Genomic DNA, 16,243 nt, shown 5'->3' on the forward strand with positions numbered 1-16,243 from the left:
TCATATTCATTTAGTCAAATTTGTTATCGATTATCAGAGACTAAATAATTCAACAAATGTAAATTCAGTACTAAATTTAGAATAAAGCCAAGTGAACTGGTAATCAGAAGACAACATTCCCATGTAAGACTGCAAATCCCAGAAAGGCAGTGACCACGTGGTATTGTTCACTTTTGTATTCTGGGTGGTTAGCAAATTTTCTGACACAGGCACACAGAAGGTGTTCAACAAGTGTTTATAGAACAAATGAACTCTGGGAGGTAAGTATTATCATTTTTCCCATTTTATTAATGAGGTCACATCATTATTAAGTGGTAAAGCCAATATTCAAACTCCAGTATGGAGTTCACATTCTTAATTACTATGTAATATTGCCTGTCTTGGAAATAAAGGAGAGGTATCAAAAATTCCACCACTCTTAGAATTAGGTTTCATCAAATATATGAGACATTAACTAACTTAGCCAAGAACAAAAAGAAATTTTACACTATTACACAAAGATTTTTAAAAGAAATAGAATATTCTCATGTAATCTCATTCAAGTATAGAAAACCTAGAATATTAAATATTTAAATCATGGGAAACCATTAACATATAATTTCTGCTGCACCATTTACTTTACCAAATATCAAAGCATTGTAATTATAGGCTTGCAAAAATGGTAAATGAATGGAAGAGTTCACTCCTAGGTGTATAAAAAAAAATGGAGATCAATATTATGCTATTACTGCTTGGTTTGCACATCAGAAGAAACATGTGAAGCAAATGCCAAGGCACCACAGTGGAGAGCAACGCACTCAGCAAACAGATGGATTCATGTCTGAGATGCCAATAAGTAGATCCTAAATACTTTTCTCTCTAGAAAACCTGTGTGCCTAATTTTCATCTTAAAAGCTCAAATTTATATTTTGCACTCTGGGCTTCATTGTAGATTGCATAATGATCCATTATGTACTAGAAGTCAAGAGTCTAGTATCAGTTAGTTGCTTCTGAATGTTTAAGGCAACCAAGCCCTGGCATTGCTTTGTACAAATGATACATTTGGTTTGCAAAGCCTCAGAAGGTAATGACATAAAGTCGTTCAAAGCTGTCAAGAATCACTGCAGAGAAGACACGTCATAACCAATTATAGTTCCAGTAGGCAGCATTTAATTTTGTGTGAATTTAGTTCAAACTTTGAAGGTGTTTTGACTGATGAGAAATCCTAGGGCTCTGACACAGGATCTCTTAAGGCAGAAGAGCCCCCAGGCATCCACTGAAATTCAACCATAAAGGAGTGAAGGGCTGTGGGAATGCATCACTAATTCATGTCAATAGTCTCATAACTATTCACAATCATAGCAGCTATGGAGCTTAGTTGAGTCTCCCTTAGACACTCTCTGCAAAATATGCATAAAGATCCAATCTCAAAAAGGGTTCCTTACTAGGAAAAAGGAATAATTTTAACCATTATAGTTACCTGGTGGATTTTTGAAGTGACCAAGAGCAAAAAGTATTCCTAAATATTGACTTTGGAAAATCAGACCTTGTTTTTGATGACCTGTATTGCTAGGACTCTAGGAAAAGTCCTGGAAAGTGCTCTTCTCCAGGATCAAGTGCAGTCGGCACATAATGGAAAGCCCACTGTGAAATAATGCTGCTGTGAGCTTTTGGAGCTGAAGGTGAACTGGAAAGAATGATGGCTGAGCGCAATCCAGAATGAAGTAGGCTTTTGAGATGGAAACCTTGAAATCTCAGCTCTGGAAAGACTTTTTCTGAGCTAGTTATTCTGCAAAGATGCAGAGGCCATCTCTGTATTACTACTAAGCAACCTAGTACTAAAATGGTGTCTTATCCAAAATAATCTGTCAAGATATATTTATTGGATTGCTAGAGAAGGATTAGATCTTAGCCTTCTCCAGAAATAGCCTGTCCATGGTCTTTGATCAATCTTTTAATTCATGTTTAAACTTTTATCAAGCATCTTATTTGGTCAAAGATCTGATAATCCTAATGTAGTCCAGATATACAAACTAGATGTGTCATTGTACTAAGAAGTGAAAATATGACAATGGCTTCTCTTGATTATCTCTATACTACTATTGAATCTACTTATTTGCACCATGCTTTTATAGGCCACTGAGTATATATATTAACTCTATTAATCACCACACCTCCATGAGCATTGGTCCCATTTTATAGATAAAGGAATAAAATAGAATGCTACCCAAATGTGCATACATTTGAGCAACAGAACCAAGACTTGAACACAGGTTAATCTTACCAGGACCACTCCAGGATCATCTCTGGGAACTGCTTTCCAAAAAGCCCTTCCAAAATTAAAAGATTACCTTGCTAAGAAGCCAAATGAAACTCTGTCATTCAAAATTTACCTAAACTATTCTTGGAACTGTAAATATCACCTGCAGTTTCTTGAAAAGAAATGACTCTCTTCTCTGTGTGAGTTAGGTAACATTGCAGCTCATATGATATGCACCCAATGAATGATTTTTCCTCTAGAGTAATGGTTAAGCTATTGGTTCTAGAGTAAGACCATCTAATATCATAATACTGGCTCTAGGTATGTGACTTTGGGCAGGTTACATTACTTCTTTGAGCCTCTGTTTCCTTATCTATAAAAGATATAATAATAGTATCTATTTGATAGAGTAACTACGATGATTACATGAAAATGTCTATATGAGGTGATTAGCACTATATTAAACCCTCAATAGATGCTATTTTTTTCATATTTCCTCTTTCCTTTTATTCAGGCTACATTATGCAACCAGATATAGATGATCTAGGTATTAAATATAATCAAAGAGAAATAAGGCTAATATATATCAAGGCTAATTAACACACATATTTATTTGGCTGGGTACGGTGGCTCATGCCTGTAATCCCAGCACTCTGGGAGGCCAAGGCAGGTGGATCACTTGAGGTCAGGAGTTCGAGAAAAACTATGAAGTGGGTAAAGCTTGTCTTTTTTTTTTTTTTTTTTTTTTTTTTTGCAATGGTATCTCACTCTGTCACCCAGGCTGGAGTGCAGTGGCATGATCTCGAATCACTGCAACCTCCACCTCCCGGGTTCTAGCAATTCTCCTGCCTCAGCCTCCCCAGGAGCTGAGACTATAGGCATGCACAAACATGTACAGCTAATTTTTGTATTTTTAGTAGAGACGGGGTTTCACCATGTTGACCAAGGTAGTCTAGAACTCCTGACCTCAAGTGATCCACTCACTTCGGCCTCCCAAAGTGCTGGGATTACAGGCATGAACTACTGCGCTGGCCTAAGCTTGTCTTTTTTGTTCTTAGTCTCCAAGTTGCAGACACCATCTGCAACTTGTATTACTACTAAGCAACCTAGTACTGAAATGGTGTCTTATCCAAAATAATCTGTCAAGATATATTTATTGGATTCCTGGAGAAGAATTAGATCTTTTATAGACTCTTTCCTTGCTCTGTAGTAAAGCCTGATTTTAAGTATGGACGTATAATTTATTTGCAGTAAGATGTAAATGCATTCATTCAATAACAAACATATACTAAATGATCATTTTAACTGATTACAGCCTGAAATAATTCCAGGAGTGCTTTAAAAAAATGTATACTTCAGAATTAAAGCCACTTTTATAGACTATCTATTCTAAAATGATCAAGTTAAAAGGTAAGGAAATTGAGATCCTGAGAACTTTGTATTTTAATAAGAATCAAAAGAATAAAGCTTTATTAATGGCATCTTTGGCACGAGTCAACAGATAGGGAATATACTCCAACAGCGTAACATCATTAAATCACTTATTCAGATAGCTGCTCCCTAGTTCATTCCTAAAGAACAGTCTTATCCATAGGTCCAAGAAAAGCTAGTTGTTTATTTGAAGCAGAGGGTTGCGGGAGATACCAAGTGTTCCCACATGCTTCTAGGAATGTTCTGGGCTTGCTTTCTCATCACCAGTATGCTTACCATCATCATTTCCAATAGGCTTCCTACCTAGAAAAAGAATTGCCATCTCTCTTTATATGATTTTCAAATAATTATAAGTAAATTCTTCAATCTTAATGCCCAATTCTAAGTGTTTCTAGCCAGTCAGAAGGGCATTAAGAAAGCAGATCAAGAACTGGGAGGTAATTTTATGTGTGAACAGAATGTCATTAATTTGAAGGGTCACCTAACTCTGTATCTCTGAGAAATGATAAATGGTTAATCAAGGACAGTGGGGCATGGCATCATTCTCACAGACAGTGAACAGTAAAGCATTACTTTGGAATACTTTACTCCAAATAGCTATGTGATGGCGAGGAATAGAATAGGTCGTTTTTCTTTGTCACTGGACCAACATTTCTTTTAATACACAGTGTGATCAGTGAATCAGAAATGAATGTCCAAGGCCGGGCGCGGTGGCTCACTCCTGTAATCCTAGCATTCTGGGAGACCAAGGCAGGTGGATCACTTGAGGTCAGGAGTTCGAGACCAGCCTGGCCAACATGGCAAAACCCTGTCTCTATTAAAATTACAAAAATTACCTGGGCGTGGTAGCATGAAACTGTAGTCCCAACTACTCGGGAGGCTGAGGCAGGAGAATCACTTGAACCCGAGAGACAGAGATTGCAGTGAGCTGAGATCACGCCACTGCACTCCAGCCTGGGTGATGGAGAGAGACTCTGTCTCAGAAAACAAAACAAAACAAAAAAACAAAGAATGTCCAGCCCAACCCTGAAAATGAAAAGCCAGAGTTCATGAGTAGCTTCTGTAAAAGACAGGTTGCCACAGAAAAAGCTAAAAATGTGAAAAGGACTTCAGTTTACCAAGAAACCCTCTAGCCATTCACTTATCACAAGGCAGTGTCTATGACCCTCTTGAAATAGGCCCTTTGCTCCTGTTCCTTGTCTAAATGCACCAAATCACTAGTTGACAGCTGTACTCTGAGCACAAAGTGATGACCCCTGGAGCCCTGAAAACTGACTACTTCCCACTTTGTCCACTTAAATATCAATCTTACAAGCTTCATGAAAACAACTGTAACAGAACTTAAACTGATATTCTTATCGTCTTAGAATTTTAGCAGAGGCCCAAACACTGAGTATAATTATGCCCAAACCAGTACTAAGACCCTATACATCTTGATATATGGGCCCCTGACACATACAAAGATGGAGTTTTGGTTCATCACTTCTAAGAACCTGAGTGGTGAAGATGTTCTTGGAGACTTGTCAGTGGTTTATGCATTCCCTCAACACAGAATAGTGTAGGAGAAGGAAGTGCTTGTGCTCCCCTACCAACCAAACCAAATGAGGAAGGCTTTGGAAACCCACCCAGATCACTACACCTGTGTCTCCTGGAAGTTAGGTGGCACAGGCTGTTGTATCTGTGCTTTCTGTTTGCTTTTTAACAAGTCCAATTTATTTAATAAAGTGTTATATTGTGTTGGTGTTTATGCACGTATTCTGCAATTAGTACTTTGGAGCTAATAATTACATTTCTCCAAATAATTGCAATAATGCCTTATGTTTATATTAACAACTTATATGTGTCAGACATTGTGCTAAATACTTTTACAAGCATTATTTCATTCGAGCTTAATGATCATCTTAAGAAATTCATTAAAACTATTTTATAGTTAAGGAAACAAAGCCTAGGTTAAGATCACGCAGAAAATGGTGAAGGCAGAACCTGAACTCAGGTGGCCTGTCTACAAAGCTAAAGTCTTATTCAATAGGCTTCCCTTGTAAAACATTGAACTAGGCATTATACAAAATAATAAAATAGTTAATGCTTTTAATGCCTAGCCTATGCCAATATCCATTTTCATCATATTATTTTCCATTTTAAATATTCAGAAATTTTCACATTTTCTACATTTTTATCTAGGTGGCAGGAATGGGATTTTCAGCAATGAGGGAAATGATCTATATCTGTGCTGACCAATATAGCAGTCACTAGCCACATGTGACTGCTGAGCACTTAAATGTGGCTGGTGCAATGGAGGAACTAAATTTTTACTTGAATTTTATTCAAATGTTTTTAACTTCAAACGTAAATGGCCATATGGGGCTAGTGGCTATGGCATTGGAATAACCAAAGATAATACTGCAGGCCTATCTTGGCCTGTCTGTCTATCGGCAGACCCAGGTATACCATATATCACACATATATAATAGAGACTCTAGATTACCTGAAAAAAAAATTCTAGATTAAGGAAGAGGTAAGTGACTCATTTTAGCCAAAAATCCTCCCAAGAAAATCTACCTAATATCTAGGATGATGCCAAAGTTTCAAAGATTCCTTTGGATACAGAGATTATGGATTTCCAATACATTTTGGGATGTTCTCAAAGAATCCAAGCTGATGGACATTTTTATATCACCAAATTAGTTGTCATAAAACACTTTTTCCAAAATTAAAAAAAAAAAAAGGAATCGCTTCCCAATGGTTAGACTTAGATCAAGCTAAATATCTACTATCTGATAATCAAGGCAATTATTAACAGCTAGAGTATTCATTTGTTCTAGGCAACATTTTAAGAATGACATTCTGGAAACGATTTAAAAGACAACAATAAAGATAAAGAAGGTTCTGGAAAGATGGTCATATGAGAAGACATGGAATTGTTAGCCAAAAGAGAAGGCACAAAGGTGGTATAGGTGCTGCCCTTGAGCAATTGAATGCTTGTCACACAGGAAAGAGAATCCTTATTCTATGCTATCCAAAGAGAAGGACTAAGGTCAAAAGGGAGGACTTAAAGGGAGATAGGATGCCCCAATGTAAGCATGAGCAGGAAGTTGAGCTATTCAGCAGAATTCACTATTTAAGAAGTGATACACTCCAGCCACTAATTATGTTCAAACCGGTTGCAAAAAATTTTAAATTATAGTTAAAATGCAAGTCCAGGCCAGGCGTGGTGGCACACAACTGTCATCCCAACACTTTGGGAGGCCAAGGTGGGTGGATCACCTGAGGTCAGGATTTCAAGACCAGCCTGGCCAAAATGGTGAAACCATGTCGCTACCAAAAATACAAAAACATTATCCAGGTGTAGTGGCATACACCTGTAGTCACAGCTACTCAGGAGGCTGAGGCAGGAGAATCACTTGAACCCAGGAGGCAGAGGTTGCAGTGAGCCAAGATCATGCCATTGCACTGCAGCCTGGGTGACAAGAGCGAAGCTCCATCTTAAAAAAAAAAAAAAAGAAAAAGAAAAAATGCAAGCCCACACATTTCTACGGTACTTAATGAAAAGTTGTCACAGGACCTTAAGAACGCAAAAGCTTGGTTTAGCCATTACTTTTTGTTTTTGTTTTTTTAAAAGGAAGGTGTTTTGTGAATATTTATATGTTATTTATAAAATGTAAGTTATAGCTATATCTATGCTATATCTTGTCATTAAAATTTGGGTATTTATCTAAATATATTTCCTAAAAAGGGCAAAGAGCTTTCTCAAGAATTTTTTGATGTAACAGTTCTAAAGACTACCGATGTGTAACTTTGAGATGACGAATGTCTATTATAAGACGTTATATTTGTTGGAATTAGTTGAAAATTCTGAGTGTTCTAGAACAGAGGCCTCAGAAATAACACCACACATCTACAACCATCTGATCTTTGACAAACCTGACAAAAACAAGCAATGGGGAAAAGATTCCCTATTTAATAAATGGTGTTGGGAAAACTGACTAGCCATATGAAGAAAACTGAAACCAAACCCCTTCCTCACACCTTATACAAAAATTAACTCAAGATGGATTAAAGACATAAACGTAAGACCTAAAACCATAAAAGCCCTAGAAGAAAACCTAGGCAATACCATTCAGGATATAGGCATGGGCAAAGACTTCATGACTAAAACACCAAAAGCAACGACAACAGAAGTCATAATTTACAAATGGGATCTAATTAAACTAAAGAGCTTCTGCACAGCAAAAGAAACTATCATCAGAGTGAGCAGGCAACCTACAGAATATGAGAAAATTTTTGCAATCTTTCCATCTGACAAAGGGCTAATATCTAGAATCTACAAAGAACTTAAACAAATTTACAAGAAAAAAACAAACAACCCCATCAAAAACTGGGCGAAGGATATGAGCAGACACTTCTCAAAAGAAGACATTTATGCGGCCAACAAACGTATGAAAAAAACCTCATCATCACTGGTCATTAGATAAATGCAAATCAAAACCACAATGAGATAACATCTCATGCCAGTTAGAATGGTGATCATTAAAAAGTCAGGAAATAGCAGATGCTGGAGAGGATGTGGAGAAATAGGAATGCTTTTACACTGTTGGTGGGAGTGTAAATTAGTTCAACCATTGTGGAAGACAGTGTGGCAATTCCTCAAGGATCTAGAACCAGAAATACCATTTGATGCAGCAATCCCATTACTGGGTACATACCCAAAGGATTATAAACCGTTCTACTGTAAAGAAACATGCACATATATGTTTATTGCAGCATGGTTCACAATAGCAAAGACTTGGAACCAACCCAAATGCCCATCAATGATAGACTGCATAAAGAAAACATGGCACATATACACCATGGAATACTATGCAGCCATAAAAAAGGATGAGTTCATGTCCTTTGCAGGGACATGGATGAAGCTGGAAACCAACATTCTCAGCAGACTAACACAGGAACAGAAAACCAAACACCACATGTTCTCACTCATAAGTGGGAGTTGAACAATGAGAACACATGGACACAGGGAGAGGAACATCACACACTGGGGCCTGTCTGGGGGTTGGGGGCTAGGGGAGGGATAGCATCAGGATAAATACCTAATGTAGATGACGGGTGATGGGTTCAGCAAACCACCATGGCACGTGTATGCCTATCTAACAAACCTGCACGTTCTGCACATGTACCCCAGAACTTAAAATATAATAATAAAAAAAAAGTGTGGTCCCAGCTGCTCAGGAGGCTGAGGCAGGAGAATGGTGTGAACCCAGGAGGCAGAGCTTGCAGTGAGCTGAGATCACACCACTGCACTCCAGCCTGGGCGACAGAGCGAGACGCCATTTCAAAAAAAAAAAAGGAAAGAAAATTCTGTGTGTTCTAATAAAGTTGTAAATTATGTTTACATAGGAGGCAAAGTTTGCTGATCAATCCTATGGAAATTAGTCCAATTTAAGACACCACTGACATAACTCAACCTCTATAAAGTACTAAGTAAATTCTCTTAGAATTAGAAATATATCTAAAAGCATTCTTTCTTGTAAATATTATTTTGCAAGACAAATATGACTTTAACAGATTAATTATAAGAGGCAATGCCTAAATCTTTTTTTTTTCCAAAACATTTTTTCACACTTTTGCCAGGAATTCATTTTCTCCCTTTTCTATTTATCCGAGTACCACTTATCCAAGGCCCTATGCAAGCCTCTTTACCATGAAGCCTTCCCAGATTGTCTCAGCCTCTTTTAAGTTTACACCATAGTCCTGCCTGCACTACTCTATGCTACACAGTTCTTACCATAGGATTCCTAAGTATTCTTTATCCTTGTGTATATTTCTGTTTAACTATGTTGGCTTATCCCTGTTCTAGCACAGTGACTTGCATTAAAAGGCCATGGTAAATGCTAATTACTTGATTGAGAAAAGTTGGAAAATCCATAGATGGGAGAACTGGCCAGACCAGGGAGAATTTCTATCCCAGGTATTCTTTGCTATGTAACAAATTACCCAAAAGCTTAGTGGCTTCAAACAAGAATTTATTATGTTCAAGGATTTATTGGGAATTGGAAAGGAGACATTAGGGCTGGCTTCTCTCTGCCATGAGGTCTGGGGTCTCAGATGAGAAGACTAATCATCAATGGCTGGAGCTGGAATTATCTGAAGACTTACTCATATCTGGTGTTTGAGAGGAAAAGGCTCAAAGGTTAAGACTGCCAAGCGGAGCACCCATCTGTGGCTTCTCTGTGTGGGTTGGCTTCTTCATAACATGGCAGCCCCAGGGGAATCAGACAGGACTCCCAGAAGGAGTATTTCAGTGCAACAAATGAAAGCATTTTTGGACCTGGCCTCTGAAGTCGCATAGTGTCACTTCTACCATACTCTATTGGTTGAAGTAGTCACAAGCCTACCCAGTTTCAAAGGGGAGAAAACATAAACCCCACCTCCTCATGGAAGGAGTGGCAAGGTCACATTATCACATAGCATGTGGGATAGGAACTATTGTAGCAGCCATCTTTGGAAAGTACAACCTGCAATGTTTAAATTCTTTGGAAAATGCAATTTCTAACCCAAGTCTAGGCTTTAACAGACTACAGTTTTGGACATGTTCAGTCTGTGACCAAATGTTCTGGAACTACATGGAGTCCACAGCCAGAATATCTTGTTAATAACAATAGCAATAATAGACATCATTTGTTAACACACACTAGTGAATACTTACCAATGTCTTACAAGCATTTCCTAATTCCTCAAATTGATGCTATGATAAAGGGCTAATCATTATTCCATTTCACTAACGAGAAAATTGTGGCACAAAATTGTCAAGTGAGTTGGGCAAGATCAGTGGAAGCAAGATTTGATATCAGCCATGTCTGTCTGACTCTGGAGTCTAGCTTTTTAATCCTGAAGCTGTACTGACTCTATATATGACATTGTCAGAGGCATGTGAACCAGAGCAACTCCATCTGGAATAGGAGCTGTGTAAAATAAGGCTGAGGCCTACTGGGCTGCGTTCCCAGAAGGTTAAGGCATTCTAAGTCATAGGATGAGTTAGGAGGTCAGCACAAGATATAGGTCATAAAGACGTTGCTGATAAAACAGTTTGCAGTAAAGAAGCCAGCCAAAACCCACCAAAACCAAGATGGCCACGAGAGTGACCTCTGGTTGTCCTCACTGCTACACTCCCACCAGTGCCATGACAGCTTACAAATGCCATGGCAATGACAGGAAGTTACCCTATATGGTCTAAAAAGGGGAGGCATGAATAATCCACCCCTTGTTTATCATATCATCCAGAAATAACCATAAAAATGGGCACCCAGCAGCCCTCGGGGCTGTTCTGTCTATGGAGTAGCCATTCTTTTATTCCTCTACTTTCTTAATAAACTTGCTTTCACTTTACTCTATGGGCTCTCCCTGAATTCTTTCTTATGCAACATCCAAGAACCCTCTCTGGCGGTCTGAATCAGGACCCCTTTCCTGTTACAACATTGTTCATCTTAAAGGCTTCAGAGCCCTTCGTTCTTACAGCTCTTTGTAAATAACTAGGTCTATGTGGGGAATGTCACTTTTATCACTGATTCCTCCTGTAGCATGTTATATTGTTTCTGGTTATGTTTCAGCATGCACAAGCCCTTCTGGAAACTTTGAAAAATTATGTTTCATTCTGTTCCTCTAACCACAACTTGGTCATAAATGCTTCTGGAATTTGTTTTCATCAGCTCAGGGCATCATTTCTTCCTTTGCTCTTGCCTGCCACAGCAATGTCAAAGCGGCAAGCAAAAACACATCCACTGATAATTCTTTTTATCTTCTAACAGCAACTTTTGTTTCTATGTCTGAATCATCCTTTAGGGCTCATACCCTGTTCTGGAGTGAATGTATTACATCATGTATTTGGAAGGGGTTTTGTTGAGTGCCTGAGTGATGGTTTTCTCCAACTTATGGGGCAGAAGGTTCTTGTCGCTTACTGCCCGAATTTTTCCAATCTAATTAAACACAAATTAGTGAAACCTGAGATACCCTGAGGACTCATTAAAGAGAAACTGCCAAACCTCTGAAAAACAGAATTTCCACATAGATTTCCCTACAGCTATGTTTGTCAATTTGTAGAAAGCTAAGAATACTCCAAGTAGTGATTAACGGTCTGAATGAAATTGCACACACGCACAAAAGAGCCCATTTAATAAACCAACAATGGAAGGTACAACTGTGGATCAACTGCTCCACATTTCTCTCCTTGGAGGTTCAAATGCAGCAATGAAACTAAGCTGGTACTTGAATGAAGTGATTTTCCTCCCTGAAAAGGAATCATGTTTCATCCCTACTTTCTAAATTCTTTTTTGTTTTGCCAGACATCTATTCCTTGTATTACATAAGAATAGAAAGCCACAAATTGTCTAGGCACAGGTGGTCTAGCTTTGAAAGATGCTAATATCCACCATTCAACTAGAATCTCCCAGACTGTTTAATTGGAATTTTGTTTTGTTCTGTTTTGTTTATTTGTGTGTTTAGCATTAGCAGGGGGAACAGAAAACTGTCTCTCCTTTAGGCTGAGCACTTGGGAATAGACTTCCAAACATCAACTTAAAAGCCAAGAAAGAAAAAAAAATACTCGGGTAACATAACAGCTGCTGAGCTCTACAGAACACAATTACTAAAAACATCTTGTATAGCTGTGAAGGGACACTCAAAGAGCTTTTAGCTAGTATAGATTCCTGGGTAGATTTTAAACTTTCTAAGACAATGCATAGATATATCAATGGAGAACATGCACATCTGGAAAAAATCACAAAATAACTGGGATAGAAAAAGAAGGGAGACAAATTCCCTACAACAGCCACTGAACTACAGCAACCCATGAAACGCAAGGATGGATTAAATGGCAACAAATTCTTTAAGAAATTTAATAGGATTATGTACAGAATATAGTACTCATTTCATTTCCTAGAATGATAAAGGCTGTCATCACTGGTCATTAGAGAAATGCAAATCAAAACCATAATGAGATACCATCTCACACCAGTTAGAATGGTGATCATTAAAAAGTCAGGAAACAACAGATGCTGGAGAGGGTGTGGAAAAATAGGAATGCTTTTACACTGTTGGTAGGAGTGTAAATTAGTTCAACCATTGTGGAAGACAGTGTGGCAATTCCCCAAGGATCTAGAACCAGAAATACCATTTGACCCAGCAATCCCATTACTGGGCACATACCCAAAGGATTATAAATCATTGTACTGTAAAGACACATGCACATGTGTTTATTGCAGCACTGTTCACAATAGCAAAGACTTGGAACCAGCGCAAATGCCTATCAATGATAGACTGCATAAACAAAATGTGGAACATATATACCATGGAATACTATGCATCATAAAAAAGGATGAGTTCATGTCCTTTGCAGGGACATGGATGAAGCTGGAAACCATCATTCTCAGCAAACTAACACAAGAACAGAAAACCAAACACTGCATGTTCTCACTCATAAGCGGAAGTTGAACAATGAGAACACATGGACACAGGGAGGGGAACATCACACACCAGGGCCTGTCATGGGGTGGGGAGCTAGGGGAGGGATAGCATTAAGAGAAATACCTAATGTAGGTGACGGGTTGATGGGTGCATCAAACCACCATGGCATGTGTATGCCTATCTAACAAACCTGCACGTACTGCACATGTATCCCAAAACTTAAAGTATAATAATAATAATTTTAAAAGATAAAGTCTAAAAGGAATCTCAAAACAACATTCTGTGTAACCTTCTTATCTTATGTTTTATTTTGTTTGATAAGAAGACAATAGAGAAAAAGTAGATAATTATCAGTATGAATGGGACTAGCTACTGGCAACCTAGCTTCTGGGCCGTTACCCTTCCTATCACACTTCTTGGTACCTATGTTTTACAGAGTAGCTTACAGTATTGTTATATGAGTCATTTCATTATATCTTCACATGTGAGATATCAGAAAAGGCATCAGTTCATTTTGAAGATGATGCATTTACTTAAATGCAATGAAACATAGAAAGTTTAATGTCCTAATGCTAGTTACACAGATAATGATACAAACAAGACCAAACCCCAGGCCTCTAGGTTTCAATATATATGTATATTATCTACTCTGGAGTTTAAGTGATTATATTCACTGAATGTTACCATTTACAAATGTCAGGTTCTATACAGTGATACCTTGAATAATGTCCTTTTATAACAAATTCCTTTGTGAAAAAAAAAAAGCCCATGATATTAATAGAAAAGAAAACAGAAGCAACAGGCACATAGCAGTAATATTTCATTGGTGGAAAAATTTAAAACTAACCAATCAGCAAACACTTTTCTCAGTGTTTTGTTTTTGGTTTTTTCCCTATTTTAAGAAAAATATAGCTGGTCAAAGGTAAGAAAAAGTTTATTTGCTTTATTTTTAGCCACTACATTTTTTCCCAACTATTCCATTCACCACCTTCTCTTGTCAGAAAAGGAAAACCTTCTTTCATTCATCTGTCTGGCCATTCATCAGGTTCTTATTGAGCACCTAATCCCAAGCTAGAACTATGCTAGCTGCGGGGATACAATGGTAAACAAGAAAGACCAAGAAACCCCCAATCTAGCAGAAGACGTAGACAACTGAAATGGCTTTTGCAATACAGTGCTCTAAGGGCTGTGATGAGAACAGCATGCTTTGACCGCCACTAACTCCCATTGGGGAGGCCAGCGGGAAACCTCCTGGAGAAAATTACTCTAAGCTGAAACCTAAAACAGGGCAGAGTAGGGAATGAGGAAGAGTTTTTAAGGGAGCAACTGATGTAAAGGAGTAAAAACAAAGGGTTTCCTGTTCAAAGAACTGAAAGAAGTTGGTGAAAGAGGGGACAGAGGAAAAAGATGGGATTGGATTAGGAGACCAGGGCCGTATCTCACTGAGTGTTGTCAGCCATACCAAGGGCTTGAACTCAATCTTAAGGGTAACTGGAGTAAAGTTAAAGGGTTCATTAGGGAAAACATGAATAAATATCATTCTCCAATAAAATCTCTTTCACCTGGTTTCCAGTAACAACCTCCTAACTGGTTCCCTAACTGGCATGAATGATTTTATTGGAGAATGATATTTATTCATGTTTGTTTTTGGGGTTGTTGTCATTGTTGTTGTTGTTTTTGAGGTGGAGTCTCACTCTGTTGCCCAGGCTGGAGTGTAGTGGCATGATCTTGGCTCACTGCATCTCCGTCTCCCAGGTTCAAGCAATTCTCCTGCCTCAGCCTCCTGAGTAGCTGGGATTACAGGCATGCACCACCACGTCCGGCTAATTTTTGTATTTTTAGTAGAGACGGGGTTTCACCATATTGGCCAGGATGGTCTGGATCTCTTGACCTTGTGATCCGCCTACCTCAGCCTCCCAAAGTGCTAGGATTACAGGCATGAGCCACCGTGCCCGGCTCTACACATTTTCTTTTCTTTTCTTTTTTTTAATATAATAATAATGTTTATGCGAGGGAATCAGGATAAAACTAAAATAACAGACTAAACGTACATAAGAGAGAGGGGTAATTGAAGTTAAAGCATTCTTTTTCTTTTTTTTTTTTTTTAGGTGGACAGGAAGTAGAATTTATTGGTGAGTATTAAGAGGGGGAAGCACAGTGAAAGCCCTCATGAGTGCAGGGCCCACCACTTCTCTAGAGGGCCACAACTGGGAAGGTACTTGACCCCACAGCCATCTGGGATGAGCCGCTTCTCAGCCACCATGTCTTCAAATTCATTGGCATTGAACTTGGTGAAGCCCCACTTCTTTGAGATGTGGATCTTCTGGCAGCCAGGAAACTTGAACTTGGCCCTGCCCAGGGCCTCAATCACGTGCTCCTTGTTCTGCAGCTTGGTGCGGATGGAGATGATAACTTGGCCAACTGGCCACAGTGCCCCGGGGCTTTCCAAAGGCACCTCGCATGCCTGTTTGGAGCCTACACTGGGGTAGTGCAAGGTCAAAAACATGTACATCCATCTGAAAGGACTGTCTCCAAGGCCCTTTAGAGCAACCCGTACAACAAACAGGCTGCATACACTACCAAGGAAGCTGCTGTTTGCAGCCATTGCACACTGGGACACATTTTCTTAACACAAGTTTGAATTCCCCAGGACTCATTATTTTGACCTCGGCTTTCTGAAATGGAAGTTTGACGTAGATATACATTCTTTTCCTTAACAAAGGAGTTACAGATCATGAGTTGGTTAGTGCAATATACTTAAAATTGCTCCTTGCACATATGTCCACAAGTTTATCTTCTTCCCCTGGGTTCACAGCTTCCTCTGTTACCCTTACAGGGTCTCCGCATCTGTATTCACATGGGACAGCCTTGAGCAGCACAGCTCAGACCTCAGCTCGGCTGGGACGTTGTAGAAGAAAGTAGAGTACCAGGAGGAGAATGAAGTAGATGAATTCTAAGATTCTACGCTCTCTAGTGGAGTGTTGTTTCCTAAAAAATTATCAGACCACACATTCCACACATGAAAAATTCATCATACTTTGAAGATAATTAAAGTAAATGTCATCCAATTTTAACCAAATTTCTATTCTACCACTAAAGGACATGCAAATGGCTTCT

At 38.7% G+C, this 16,243-nt stretch overlaps 1 long non-coding RNA gene and 2 pseudogenes across 4 annotated transcripts in view; all 3 read right to left on the reverse strand.

Moving 5' to 3' along the window:
* The window catches only part of LOC105369844 (uncharacterized), a 310,508-nt gene that overhangs the window by 149,233 nt on the left and 145,032 nt on the right, over nt 1-16,243 (reverse strand). The window lies entirely within an intron of this gene.
* RPL10P13 (ribosomal protein L10 pseudogene 13) lies at nt 15,232-15,603 on the reverse strand (annotated as a pseudogene).
* LOC124900321 (uncharacterized) lies at nt 15,650-15,812 on the reverse strand (annotated as a pseudogene).

The sequence above is a fragment of the Homo sapiens genome, chromosome 12 (genome assembly GCF_000001405.40).
Source record: "Homo sapiens chromosome 12, GRCh38.p14 Primary Assembly".
NCBI lineage: Eukaryota > Metazoa > Chordata > Mammalia > Primates > Hominidae > Homo > Homo sapiens.